Source organism: Homo sapiens, chromosome 12, assembly GCF_000001405.40.
Source record: "Homo sapiens chromosome 12, GRCh38.p14 Primary Assembly".
Lineage (NCBI taxonomy): Eukaryota > Metazoa > Chordata > Mammalia > Primates > Hominidae > Homo > Homo sapiens.
In genome coordinates this window covers 57,964,242-57,979,017 of record NC_000012.12, presented here as the reverse complement: position 1 = coordinate 57,979,017, position 14,776 = coordinate 57,964,242, and the positions used below count along the sequence as shown (strand labels likewise).

Here is a 14,776-nt window from a genome sequence, read left to right as displayed (position 1 = left end):
CTTCACATCCCTTGTAAGTTGTATTCCAAGGTATTTTATTCTCTTTGTAGAAATTGTGAGTGGGAGTTCACTCATGATTTGGCTCTCTGTTTGTCTATTACTGGTGTATAGGAATGCTTCTGATTTTTGCACATTGATTTTGTATCCTAAGACTTTGCTGAAGTTGCTTATCAGCTTAAGGAGATTTGGGGCTGAGATGATGGAGTTTTCTAAATATACAATCATGTCATCTGCAAACAAAGACAATTTGATTTCCTCTTTTCCTGTTTGAATGTCTCCATTTATTTAAATCTTCCTTTTGTAAGCAATTTTTAATATTTTTCTTTTTTCTTGTTTATTTATTTAAGACAGAGTCTTGCTCTGTTGCCCAGTTTCTTTCTCTTTATTTCTTTCTCTTGCCTGATTGTTCTGGCCAGAACTTCCAATACTATGTTGAATAGGAGTGGTGAGAGAGAGCATCCTTGTCTTGTGCCAGTTTTCAAAGGGAATGCTTCCAGCTTTTGCCCATTCAATGTGATATTGGCTGTGGGTTTGTCATAAATAGCTGTTATTATTTTGAGATACAGTCCATCAATACCTATTTTATTGAGAGTTTTTAGCATGAAGGGGTGCTGAATTTTTTCAAAGGTAGGCCTTTTCTGCATCTATTGAGATAATCATGTGGTTTTTGTCATTGGTTCTGTTTATGTGATGGATTACATTTATTGATTTGCATATGTTGAATCAGGCTTACATCCAAGGGATGAAGCTGACTTGATCTGGCTGTGACATCTGTCACCCTATTGATGGCCAGGGTTGATTTGGCTGATCTGGCTGGCTAGGCGGGTGTCCCCTTCCTCCCTCACTGCTCCATGTATATTAGCCCTTTGTGCACTCGGTCAAAGAGGATGACCATCCCTGATAGAGGAGGACTGCAGTCTTTGGTCAAGGGTATAGGAGTAGCTGCACTCCCTTGCTAGAACCTCCAAACAAGTTCTCAAAACAAAATTTTTAATTAGCCAGTTGTGGTGGCATACACCTCTCTCCCACCCACTCAAGAGGCTGAGGCAAGAGGATCACTTGAGCCCAAGAGTTCATGGTTACAGTGAGCTGTGATTGTACTGCCACATTCCAAACTGGGCAACAGAGCAAGACTCCGTCTTAAATAAATAAACAAGAAAAAAGAAAAATATTTAAAATTGCTAAAAAAAAAAAAGGAAGATTTAAATAAATTGAGACATATTCTATGTCCATTAATTTGAGTGTTCATAATTTGGAAGACTTGATACTGTTGAGAATTTTCCCCTAATTGATCTATAGCTTCAGTGCAATCCCATTCATAAATCTCAGCAGGCTTTTTCATAGAAATTGACAAGCTGATTCTAAAATGTGTATAGAAATGCAGAAGACCTAGAATGGTCAAAACAACCTTGTAAAAGAAAAACAAAGCTGAAGGACTTACACTTCTGACCTTAAGACTTACTATAAAGTAACCAAGACAGTGTATTACTGGCTTAAACATAAATAAATAGATCAGTAGAACCAAATATAAAATCTGGAAATAGACCCACACATACATAGTCCATTGATTTGCAACAGACACCAAAGCAATTCAATGAGGAAAGTATTTTCAGCAAATGGTTCTAGAACATCTGGACAGCTATAAGAAAAAGAGTAAACCTGAACTCTTACTTCACACCATAAACAAAAATGAATTTCATATAAATATTATAGACTCAAATATAAAAGCTAAAACTATAAAGCTCTTAGAATAAAATGTAAAAGACTATTTTCACAACTAGGAGTAGACAAAAATTTGTTAGGACACGGAAAGCAATAACCACAAAATGTTTTTAATTGGTAAATTAAACTTCAAAATTAAAGAACTCTGCTCATTGAAAATGTTAAGAACATGAATAGGCAAGCCACAGACTGGAAGAAAATATTCATGAAACATTTATCTGATTAAAAAAACTTTTAAGTGAAAATACAAAGGCTTTTTATAACTCAATAGTAAAAAGAAAAACAATCGAAGAAAAAATGGGCAAAATATTTGAACAGACACTTTTACAAAGGAAATTTATTTTAAAATTTAAAATTGTCTGATAAACACAACAAAATTGTTTAATATCATTAGTTATCAAAGAAGTGGAAATTGAAACTACAATAAGAAACCACTACACACCTACTAGAATGACTAAAATTAAAAAGACAACTGACAATATTTGTTAGAATATAAGAGAAAATAGAACTCACATACACTACTGGTAGGAATCTGAAATAACACAACCACTTTGGGAAAAGGTTTCTGTTTCATTTAAAGTTAAATATACATATATCTTTTGACTCTGCTATTCTATCATAGGTATTTTACTTATTTGTGGAAAGGAAAACATATCCACAAAAAGACTTGTACAAGAATGTTCTTAACAGCCTTATTTACAACACCTAAAACTAAAAACAACCCATTATATATAAACAGGAGGATGAATAAGCAAACTGTTTTATATTCATACCATGGGACATGTCTTAGCAATAAAAAGAGAATGAATTAATAATAAATGCAATAATAGCAATGAAACTCACAGACATGCTGGGCAAAAGAAACCTGATACAAAAGAAAATATATTTAATGATTCCATGTGTATGAAATTCTAGAACAGGAAAAACCAATCTATGGTGAAAAAAACTTAGAAGAGTGGTTAGCTGGATGGTGGGAAAGAGGGAAACTGAGAAAAAAGAGGAAGGAACTTTCTGGGGTGATGGGGTGTTCTAAATTTTATGATGTGGGTTACACAAATGTACATATTGTCCAAATTGTATAGTTATTATTTGGGTATCTCACTAGAGGTGAAATTTACCTTTAAAAAATGAATGTGATGTGGATAGTGGCTGAAAGTATAGATTAAACAAAAGGGCAGAATGTTGATAATTGTCAAACCTGAGTCATGGGTGCAAGGATATTTATTATTCTTGGTTTGCTTCGTAAATGTTTGAAATTTTCTACAATAGAGTTTGTTTAAACTGGTAGAAATGAATTAAAGGTTAATATGCACTGAATTCTAATTGCAATAATCTTCTATTTTAACTAAAACTGTATGAGAACTGGCATAACCGCACAGTTTTTGCTAGGCAGAAAATTGAGTGCTAAACAATTAAGAAACCATTGTTTTGTTCATTTGTGCCCTTGGGAGAAGGAAGAGCAGAGTGGAGAATGAAACAGAATAATGTTAGTCTGTAGCAATCAGACCATGCTATTTCAACTATTCACCTTCTCAAGAGGATAGTGATATTCAGCCAAGATATTACCAAACCTAGTTATTTGTTCATTAAACTCACTTCAGAGAAATGCCCTAAGTGTATAATTAATAAATGTTAATTTATATTAATGATAAGATTGCACTTGAATTTTTTAACTTTTTTCTGAATTTAAAATATTCGAGAAGCAAGAGCCAAGCATTCTGCTAATAAGCCTGCATTTTTCTTTCATTATTCTCTTTCTTCTTTCTCTTCCCTGCTGATTTCTACTTCTAACTTTTGCAATGCGAGTGTTACAGTCCCCAAGAGCTGAATTTGGTTCTATAGAAATTACCAAGTAGAATATCTGCAGTTTTATTGAACAACACTGTTTATTCAACAGGTACAGATGTTAAGTTAGAAGGAAAACAAAAATTGTGTGATGCCCTAAGTGGCAAGTGGCAGCTTCTCTGAGTGCTAACTGCATTCATGCTACCTCATAACCAAAGTGATCAAATACGAGGGGGGGGAAATTACAATGAGCCAAAAACACTCTCCTAACATAATGCTTCAGAGTCCCAGAGCAAAGGTCAAAGTGACACGCACACTCCAAATCTGGATCTGTAGGGTCAAAGCCATACCAGGCAGCCCACTAATGGGGCCACCTATTAGTAGGAAGCCCTGAGGAGCCTCAGAAGAGTCAAGGTGGCTGGACTCAGATCAGGGCTCACTAGGAAACTACAGCTCCCATTCATTCTCCCAACCACTGCATGAAAAGGGACTCAATCTGAAGAAAAAATAGACATTGTACCCATTCAATAAGTATTTATTAAACACTCACTGTCTACTATGTGCTGATGTAGGCACCAGGGATACAGGAAGGACCAACATGAGCTGAGTCTTTGTCACCATGGGGAACAGCTTCATCAAGGAGGAAGTGCAGGGTGATCTGGGGTATGTAATACAGCATATATTTGAGGATATATAACCTGTGTTGAGACCCAGGTTGGAGGCTCAAGAAAAAATGTCCAGAAAAAGTAACATTTAAACTGAAACCTGGAGTATGAGGAGGAGATAGCAAGTCAACTTACTATCTTAACTATTTTTAAGTGTACAGTTCAGTGGTATTAAGTACATTCATACTCTTGTGTAACCACCAGCACCCTCCATCTCCAGAACTCTTTTCATCTTTTAAAATTAAAACCTCATACCCATTAAACAATAACTCCCCATTCTCTTCTCTCCCAAGCTCTGAACCACCTTCTGTATCTAATATTTTGACTACTGTAAGTACCTCATATAAATGGAATCATAAAATATTTGTCCTTTTTTGTCTGGATTATTTTACTCAGTATAAAGACTTCAAGGTTCATCTATGTCATAGCATGTGTCAGAATTTCCTTCCTTTTTATACATAAATAATATTCCATTGTGTGGATATACCACATTTTGCTTATCCATGCATGCATCAATGGACACTTGAGTTGCCTCCATGTTTTAGCTATTGTGAATGCTGCTGCTGTGAACATGGTGCACAAATATGTCTTTGAGATCCCACTTTCAATTCTTGTGAGTAACACCCAGAAGTGGAATTTCAGGATCATATGGTAATTCTACTTTTAACTTTTTTCTTTCTCTTTTTTTCTTTATTAAGACTTTCAGATAAAACTATTTTTAACTCTTTGGGAAACCACTATGCTGTTTTCTATAGCAGTTGTATCATTTTACATTCCCACCAACCATCCACAAGGGCTCCAATTTCTCCACGTCCTTTTCAACACTTATTTTCTGTTTGTACTACTATTTTGGTAGTAGCCATCCTAGTAAGTATGAGGTGGTATCTCATAGTTTTAATTTGCTTGCATTTCCCTAATGATTAGTGATGTTGAGCATCTTTTCATGTGCTTATTGGTCATTTGTATATCTTCTTTGGAGAAATGTCTATTCAAGTCCTTTGCCCATTTTTGAATCAGGTTGTTTGGCATTTTCTTCTTGAGTCTTAAGGGTTATCTATATATTCTGGCCATTAATCTCATATTGGATACATGATTAGCAAATATTTTCTCCCATTCTGTGGGTTGTCTTTTTCATGAAGTCCAATTTGCCTGTTTTTTCTCTTGTTTCCTTATGCTTTTGGTTTCATATCCAAGCAATCATTGCCAAATCCAATTTCATGAAGCACTTCCCCTATGTTTTCCTCTAAGAATTTCATAATTTTAGCTCTTGTATTTAGGTAGCAGATCAATTTGGAGTTAATTTTGTATATGGTGTTAGCTAAGGATCCAACACTATTCTTTTGGATGTGGACATCCAGTATTTCCAATACCACTGGTTGAAAAGACTGTTTTTTCCTCAATTGAAGAGTCTTGGCACACTGTTGAAAATCATTTGACCATGTAAGTGAAGATATATTCCTGAACTCCCTAGTCTGTTTCATTGATCTGTATATGTGTCTTTATGCCACCACCACACTGTTTTGATTACTGTAGCTTTGTGGTAAGTTTTGAAATCAGGAAGTGGGAGTCCTCCAGCTTTGTTCTTTTACAGGGTTGTTTTGGCTATTTTGGTCCCTTGAGATTCCACGTTCATTTTATTTTAATTTTTTTTTTTTGAGACAAACTCTCACTCTGTTGCTGAGGCTGGAGTGCAATGGTGCGATCTTGGCTCACTGCAGCCTCGACCTCCAGAGCTGAAGCAATCCTTCTGCCTCAGCCTCCCAAAGTGTAGAGATTACAGGTATGAGCCACCATGCCATATTAATTTTAGAATGAGTTTTTCTATTTCTGCAAAAAAAATTGGAATTATGTAAGGGATTGCATTAAATACGTACAACACTTTGGGCAGTATTGACATCTTAATGTTATTAAGTTTGCCAACCCATGAGCATGGTGTCTTTCCATTTATTTACATCTTCTCTAATTTCTCTCAGAAATATTTTGTAGTTTTCATTGTTTTTTCACAAGTCTTTTACCTTCTTGTTTAATTCCTAAATAATTTATTCTTGTTGATACTATTTTAAATTGAATTATTTACTTAATCTCCTTTTCAGACTGGTTTTTGGGGTTTTTTGAGACAGAGTCTCACTCTGTTTTCCAGGCTGGAGTGCAATGACGTGATCATGGCTTACTGCAGCCCAACCAATGTTCCCACCTCATCCTCTCGGGTAGTTGGGATTACTGGCACACACCACCATACCCTGCTAATTTTAGTAATTTTTTGTACAGACAGGGTTTCACCATGTTGCCGAGGCTGGTCTTGAACTCCTGAGATTAAGTGATCCACCCATCTCAGCCTCCCAAAGTGCTTGGATTATAGGTGTGAGCCACAGTGTGCCCAGCCCAGACTGTTTATTATTAATTTATAAAAGTGCAGCTTTTTGTATGTTAACTTTGTATCCTACTACTTTGCTGAATTTATTTATTTGTTCTAATAGTTTCTTTGTAGAATCTTTAAGGTTTTCATATTATCTGTGAGCAGAAATACAAGACAATAGAAGATAAATATCATTTGTGAGCATAAACAATTTTAATTATTCCTTTCTGATTAGGATGCCTTTCATTAGATGCTTTTGTCTTACCTAATTGCTCTGGCTAAAACTTCTAGCACTATATTGAATAGAAGTAGTAAAAGTGGGCATCCTTACCTTGTTTTTGATCTTAGAGGAAACACTTTCAGTCTTTTACCATTGATTATGATGTTCTGTATGAGTTTTCATTAAGGCTTCTATTATGTTAAAGTAGTTTCTCTCTATTCCTAGCATGTTGAGTGTTTTTATCATGAAAGTGTGTTGAATTTTGTCATATGCCTTTTCTGCAATAATTGAAATGATGATGTGTTTCTTTTCCTTTATTCTGTTAATGTTATGTATTATAATGGTGAATTTTCATATGTTAAGGCATTCTTGTATTCCAAGAATGCATCCCACTTGGTCATGTTTCTAATCCATTTATTATGCTGCTGGGATTAGTTTGCTAGTATTTTGTTGAGGTTTTTTGCATCGATGTTCATAAGGAACATTGGTCTACAGTTTCTTTTTTTATTTTATTTTATTATTATTATACTTTAAGTTTTAGGGTACATGTGCACAATATGCAGGTTAGTTACATATGTATACGTGTGCCATGCTGGTGTGCTGCACCCATTAACTCGTCATTTAGCATTAGGTATATCTCCTAAATCTATCCCTCCCCCCTCCCCCCACCCCACAACAGTCCCCAGAGTGTGATGTTCCCCTTCCTGTGTCCATGTGTTCTCATTGTTCAATTCCCACCTATGAGTGAGAATATGCGGTGTTTGGTTTTTTGTTCTTGCGATAGTTTACTGAGAATGATGATTTCCAATTTCATCCATGTCCCTACAAAGGACATGAACTCATCATTTTTTATGGCTGCATAGTATTCCATGGTGTATATGTGCCACATTTTCTCAATCCAGTCTATCATTGTTGGACATTTGGGTTGGTTCCAAGTCTTTGCTATTGTGAATAGTGCCGCAATAAACATACGTGTGCATGTGTCTTTATAGCAGCATGATTTATAGTCCTTTGGGTATATACCCAGTAATGGGATGGCTGGGTCAAATGGTATTTCTAGTTCTAGATCCCTGAGGAATGGCCACACTGACTTCCACAAGGGTTGAACTAGTTTACAGTCCCACCAACAGTGTAAAAGTGTTCCTATTTCTCCATATCCTCTCCAGCACCTGTTGTTTCCTGACTTTTTAATGATTGCCATTCTAACTGGTTTGAGATGGTATCTCATTGTGGTTTTGATTTGCATTTCTCTGATGGCCAGTGATGGTGATGTATATACATATATATATATACTTCATGAAATTAAAATTTGTTTCTTTGAAAAGATCAAAGATTTTATATATATATATATATATATATATATATATATGGCACACACACACACACATATATACACACCTACACATATATATATACACACACACATATATATACACACATATATATACACACACACACATATATATACACACACACACATATATATACACACACACATATATATATACACATATATATGTATATATGTATATATATAATGGATAGACCAGCCAGCCAGATGATAAGATATATATATATACACATACATATATACATATATATATATATATATATATATACACACATATATACACATATCACTCTTATCATCTGGCTGGCTGGTCTATCCATTATTCAGAGGGGAAATATTGATGTTTCCAACTATTATTGCAGAACTATTTCTCCCTTTGAGTCTGTCAATTTTTGCTTCTTATACTTTGTCATTAGTTGTATAAATGCTTATAATTGTTATATCTTCTTGCTGCATTGAACCTTTTTATTGATATACACTGTCCTTGTCTCGAGTAAGATTTTTTTTTTGTCTGATATTAGTGTAGTCGCCCCTGCTCTCTTTTAATTACTATTTGCACGGAATAACCTTTTCTATCCTTTTGCTTTCAATCTTTTTGTGTCTTTGGATCCAAGATGAGTCTCTTGTAAGCAGCATATAGTTAAATCCTTATGGCTTGGAGAGTTTAACTCATTTACATTTAAAGTAATTGCTCATAAGGAGGGATTTCTATCAATTTGCTATTTGCTTTCTATATGCCTTATAGCTTTTGTTGCCTCATTTCATGCATTACTATCTTCTTTTCTGTTCAGTTCATTTTTGTAGTGAAATCTTTAAATTCCTTTCTCATTTCCTTTTGTGTACATTATTTAGCTATTTTTTCTGTGGTTACCATGCAGATAACATTTAACATCATAAAGTTATAACACTCTAATTTGAATTTATACTAGATTAACTTTAATAACATATAGAAACTCTACTTCTTTAACAGCTCTATCCCCATCCCTTTCCATTGTTGATGCTGCAAAATTACATCTTTAATAGTGTGGGTCCAAAAACATACAAATTTTTAATGTGTTAGTCTCTTAAATTATGTAGGAAACAAAATATGGAGTTACAAACCAAATTACAATAATACTTTTAGAGTAATCATTGTTTTTTTAATGTATTAGTCTCAAATCACGTAGAAAGCAAAGGTAAAATTACACATCGTTACAATAATAGTGGCTTTTATAATTGCCTATGTGTTTACCTTAACTGAAATCTTTATTTCTTCATACGGTTTCATGTTACTATCTAGTCATGATTTCAACCTGCAGGACTCTTTTAGCATTTCTTGCAGGACAGATCTAATGGTAGTGAACTGCCTCTGCTTTTGTTTATCTGGGAGTGTCTTAATTTCTTACTCACTTTTGAAGGGCAGTTTTACCAGATATAGGATTCTTGGTTACCAGTTTTATTCTTTTAGCACTTTAAATATATCAGTCTACTCTGCTCTGTTAAAAGTTTCTGATGATAAATATGCTAACAATCTTATTGAAGATCAGCCTTTGTATGCAACAAGTCAATTTTCTCTTGCTGCTTTCAGAATTCTCTCTGTATTTGTCTTTTTGTATGTACTGCATTTTATTACATAAAAGTACAATTAGTAAAATAATATACTAATAATTTAATTAACTTTAATATAATTTTAACTAGAATTAAGAATGTTTTTCTCTCATGATAATGCAGAAGAATATTACTCTGAACACCTACCTAATGTATCACAAAATAACCACAAAGAGCCTTTTTAAGATATTCATCATGCATTTTACATTTTAATGTCATTACTCCTCCATAGAAAAGGTCATAAATAATGTCCACCTAATAAAAAAGAATCTGTCATGTCTTTAATGCAGAAACAATTTATCACATGCTTTCACATGTAAACACAATAGGAATGAAGAAACAGCATGAAGTAATTTTAGAGTTGAATTATATCATTATTGAATTTTTTTTTAAAGTAGCAGATTTTTCAAAAAAAGTATACTTTAAACATAATTATAACTCTTCAAAAAATCTTCTACTCCTTTTTCATTATATACAAATAATTTGTCTACCAGCTTTGGTTTTGGATTATTTTCTCTACTCAGTACTCTGATTTAGTGTAATGTCTGAAGTGTTGGTGCCTTAGTTATTTCTACTCTGAATTCTCTGATATTTACATAGTTTACTGCATCTGCAAAATTATATTTTAGTATAAACTCTCTGGTATTTTTTAAGCTGTAGTTATTAAAAAAATGTTTTTCCAAATTTATTACATTTGCCGGGTTTTTCTTCAATATAAATTCTTTGATGTTGAACAAAGTTTAAGCAACTGCTTCAGGCTCTTCTTGTAGTAAAAATGTGTACAATAAGATCTGTGATACAAGTAAAGGTGCTACAACCTTCTTTATATCTATAATGTTGTCTTCAAAATACATAGTTTTCTTCACTTTAAAAGCTTATATTTTCTGAAAAACATTTTTGACAGTAATTGCACTTACAATGCTTTCACTAAGTATGAACTCTCTGATAGTAAGATGTGAACAGATATTAATGGCTTTTTTACATTCTTTTTGTTTGTTAATTTTTTCTCAAGTATAAATGCTTTTCTGTGCAATAAGGTGTGAGGATTGGTTAAAAGTTTTGCCACATTTTTCACATTTGTAGGAGTTTTCTCCACTATGAATTATCCGACCTATAATCAAGTGTGACAACCATTTAAAGGCTTGTCACGTTCTTCACATTTCTAGGATTTCTCATCAGTATGATTTATTTTATGTTTAGAAAAGTTTGAAGTGTTGCCAAAAGCATTGTCACATCTTTCAGGTTTGTAGAATTTCTCTCCAGTATGAATTATCTTGCGTCTCTTAAGAATTGAGGATTCACTGAAGGATTTGCCACATTCTTCACACTTGGAGGTTTTCTCTTTAGTATAAATTTTCTTATGTTTAGTAAGGTTTGAGAATTGGTTAACAGCCTTTGCCACATTCTTCACGTTTGTAGGGTTTCTCTCCCATATGAATTACTTATGTATAGTAAGGTGTGAGGACCAGTTAAAAAATTGGCCACACTCTTCACATTTGTAGGGTTTCTTTCCAGTATGAATTGTCTTATGAATAGTAAGGTGCGAGGACTGGTTAAAAAACTTCGCCACATTCTTCACATTTGTAGGGTTTCTCTCCAATATGAATTATCTTATGTTTAGTAAGGCCTGAGGACCAGTTAAAGGCTTTGCCACATTCTTTACATTTGTAGGAATTGTCTTTAGTGTAAATTCTTTTATGTTGAATTAGGTGTGAAAGCATGCAAAATGTTTGACACACATTTGAAAGATTCCTTTCTAGTATGTCTTATCTTATGTCTATTTGAATTTGAAAATTTATAAAAAAACTTTCACACATTTATCACATTTAAATATTTTGCTCTCATTAGTTGTCAAACACTGGTTAAGTCCATTATGACCTTTTTTGTGCACCTTACACTCATCCACACTTTTATAACTTTTCTTAACTGTAAATTCTAATGTTCACATTTTCCATATCTTCTCAGTATAACTTTTTGGAAAAAAAACTTCCGTGTCCTACTCTGGCCAAAGGTCTTGGGCAAAAGAAAAACATAAAACTGGGGGTTTGGCTACCATTTCATGTCTCTTCATATTCCAGGGCTTTTTTTCTTTTTTTTTTTCCTCCAGACAGGTGATCAGGTCTGGCTTAGAGACAGCAATATACTCAGGAAGACCAGGTTTCTGTAGTTCCCTAACATCACATTCCTATATAAATTCTGCTGTGCAGTGTCCAGGCATTGCCATTCCTCCAGAGATAATTCTATGGCCACCTCCCTAAATGTCAATGATCTCATTTCTAGGCTTCCAGGGGGTCCTGGCATCTTAGCAGTGGATCTCCCAATACCTGCAGGTCACAGGGCCACAGAGGCTGGGCCTCTAGAAGCAGAAGAAACAGAGAAGTAAACACAAGACTGGGAGCTCTGGCTGCAGTGAGAGACAAAGGCCTGTGTTTGTCTTTTGACAGTTTGATTATAATATGTCTCAATGTGGCTATCTTTGAGTTCATCATACTTGGAGTTTGTTGAGCTTCTTGGATGTTTATATTCATGTCTTTTATCAAACTTGAAAAGTTTTCAGCCATTATTTCTTCCAATATTCTCTCTGCCCCTTTCTCTCTTCTGCTGGAACTCCTACAATGTATATATTGGTCTGCTTGATATTGTCCCATGGGACTCCTAGGCTGTGCTTACTTTTCTTCAATCTTTTTCCTTTCTGTTCCTCAGACTTGCTAATTTCCATTGTCCTATCTTTGAGTTTGCTGATTTTCTTCTGCTTGCTCAAATCTGCCTTTGAATCCCTCTAGTAAATTTCTTATTTCAATTATTGAACTTTTCAGCTTCAGAATTTCTTTTTCCTTTCTAGGTTTTCTCTTAATATTCCTATTTTGTTTCTACATAGTTTTCTTAACTTTCTCCATGTCTTCCTTTAGTTCTTTGAGCATCTTTTGCTAGTTCTTTTTTAATTAAATTTTTATTTTTAATTTTTGTGGGAACACATTAGGTGTATTTATGGGATACATGAGACATTTTGATACAGGCATGCAATGCATAATAATCACATCTGGATAAACAGGGTATCCCCCACCTCAAGCATTTATCCTTTTGAGACAAGAAGTCTTCTTCCAATCTAAGGTTTTTCTAGATTGAATGGTTCGTGGTCTCAAGGGCTTCAAGGAATGAAGCCATGGACTGCAGCAGTGAGTGTTACAACTTGATTAGAGAAACGCACGGACCCCAAGAGTGTGCAGCAGCAAGATTTATTAAAGTGAAAGTGAAAGTAAAGCAAAAGTAAAGCTTCCACACGGTGGAAGGGGACACGGAAGAGTTGCCGTTTTTCGCTTGGGTATCTTATGCTTATATCCCCTTATAACCCCTCCTCTTTTCCTTTTTCTGTCCTATAGAATTAGCTTATTTTTCAATCTGCTTGCGGGTTGGCAGGCCTGATTGGTTAAAAACATCAGGCTGCAGCTAGAGCTTAAACTCCCTATGTGACTGGTTGAAGTTCAATCCCTTAGCTTGCAGCTGTGACTCATTTTGGCTTAGGGGAAAGTCCCCTTAGGGACGTCCCTATTGACCCAGGAAGTCCAGACAATTTAGCCCCTCAGTCCCTCACTTTGTGATATGAACAATCCAATTATACACTTTTAGTTATTTTTAAATGTACAATTAAATTACTTTTTACTACAGTCACCCTGTTGTGCTAGCAAATACTGTCTTGTTCATTCTATTTTTTTGTACCCATTAGCCATCCCCAATTTCCCCTCCCTTACCCTCATGCCCCCACCCCCACCCCACTACCCTTCCTAGCCTCTGGTAACTATCATTCTGCTATCTCCATGAGTTCAATTGTTTTAATGTTTAGCTCCCATGGGTGAGAACATGCAAAGTTTGGCTTATTTCACTTAACATAATGACCTCCAGTTTCACCCATGTTGCTGCAAATGACAGGATCTCATTCTTTTATATGGCTGAATGTACTCCATTGTGTAGGTTGCTTCCAAATCTTGGCTATTGTGAATAGTGCTACAATAAATGTGAGCGTACAGATATCACTTGATATACTAATTTCCTTTCTTTTGGGGATATACTTAAGAGTGAGATGGCTGGATCGTGTGGTCTTTGAGCATCTTTAAGACAATTATTTTAAAGTTTTTGTCTAGTAAATCTGCCAACAGGTCTTTTTCAGGGACAGTTTCTGTTTGTTTGCTTTTTTCCATAGAATGGGCCACAATTTCCTGTTTCTATCTCTTGTGATTTTTGTTGAAAACTGTACATTTTAATCTAATAATCTGGTAAGTCTAAAAGTCAGATACTCTCTCTCCAGGGTTTGCTGTTTTGTGTTTTTATTTTTTTTGTAAGCTATCCCTGTGCTGAGGATCAGTCTGAGGTATAAAATTAGGGTGTTTTCAGAGCTTGCACCTTCCCCTGCACATGTACTGTAACTTTCTAATTTCTCTTGTATATGAGGTTACTTTTGAATGTCATAGTCTTCAGTGTCTGGCTCCCAAAGGGGGGAAAAGAGAAAAATGAAGAGCACAGGAAAAACAAAAAGGCACCAGCCTTTTAAATAACCAGGAAGTCACTTCAGCCAGAGGGTAGGGGGAGCTTGCAACAATGGAGGGAGGTGAAACCACAATGTCCACCTCTGAACCTCTGTAATCAGAAGCAGCAATTAGCAATCAAAGCACAGATCTCCACTATTTGGAGGACAGAGTCTTTTTTTATCCACCCTGGCTCCCACAACCTGCATGCAAGCTGCTCCAGGAACATGTGCACACCCACCTGCCACAAGGATAGGGGATGGGGGATGGGTAGCTGCTACTGTGCTAAGAACTAAAATTGACCAAAATGAACCACAATTTAATATCCAAGCTTTTCCCTGGACGTTGCAAGCCTTCAATAGACCCAGAGTTCCAAAACAGTTACATCAGAGAGGTTCTACTACTATAATTTTTACCTAAGTGGGAAGACAGATTTCTGGTGCTTCCTTCTCCATTATCTTCCCAGAATCCTCAAATTTTGTTTTAAATGTTTGACAAGGCTTCAGGTATTACTTTATAATTTATATTTAATAAAATTTTAACTCAAGAGAATGAATCCTGCTAGCTTCA

General features: G+C 35.0%; 2 pseudogenes; one reads left to right on the top strand and one right to left on the bottom strand.

Moving 5' to 3' along the window:
- On the top strand, positions 756–980 carry RN7SKP65 (RN7SK pseudogene 65; annotated as a pseudogene).
- LOC100533641 (zinc finger protein 100 pseudogene) lies at positions 10,287–11,953 on the bottom strand (annotated as a pseudogene).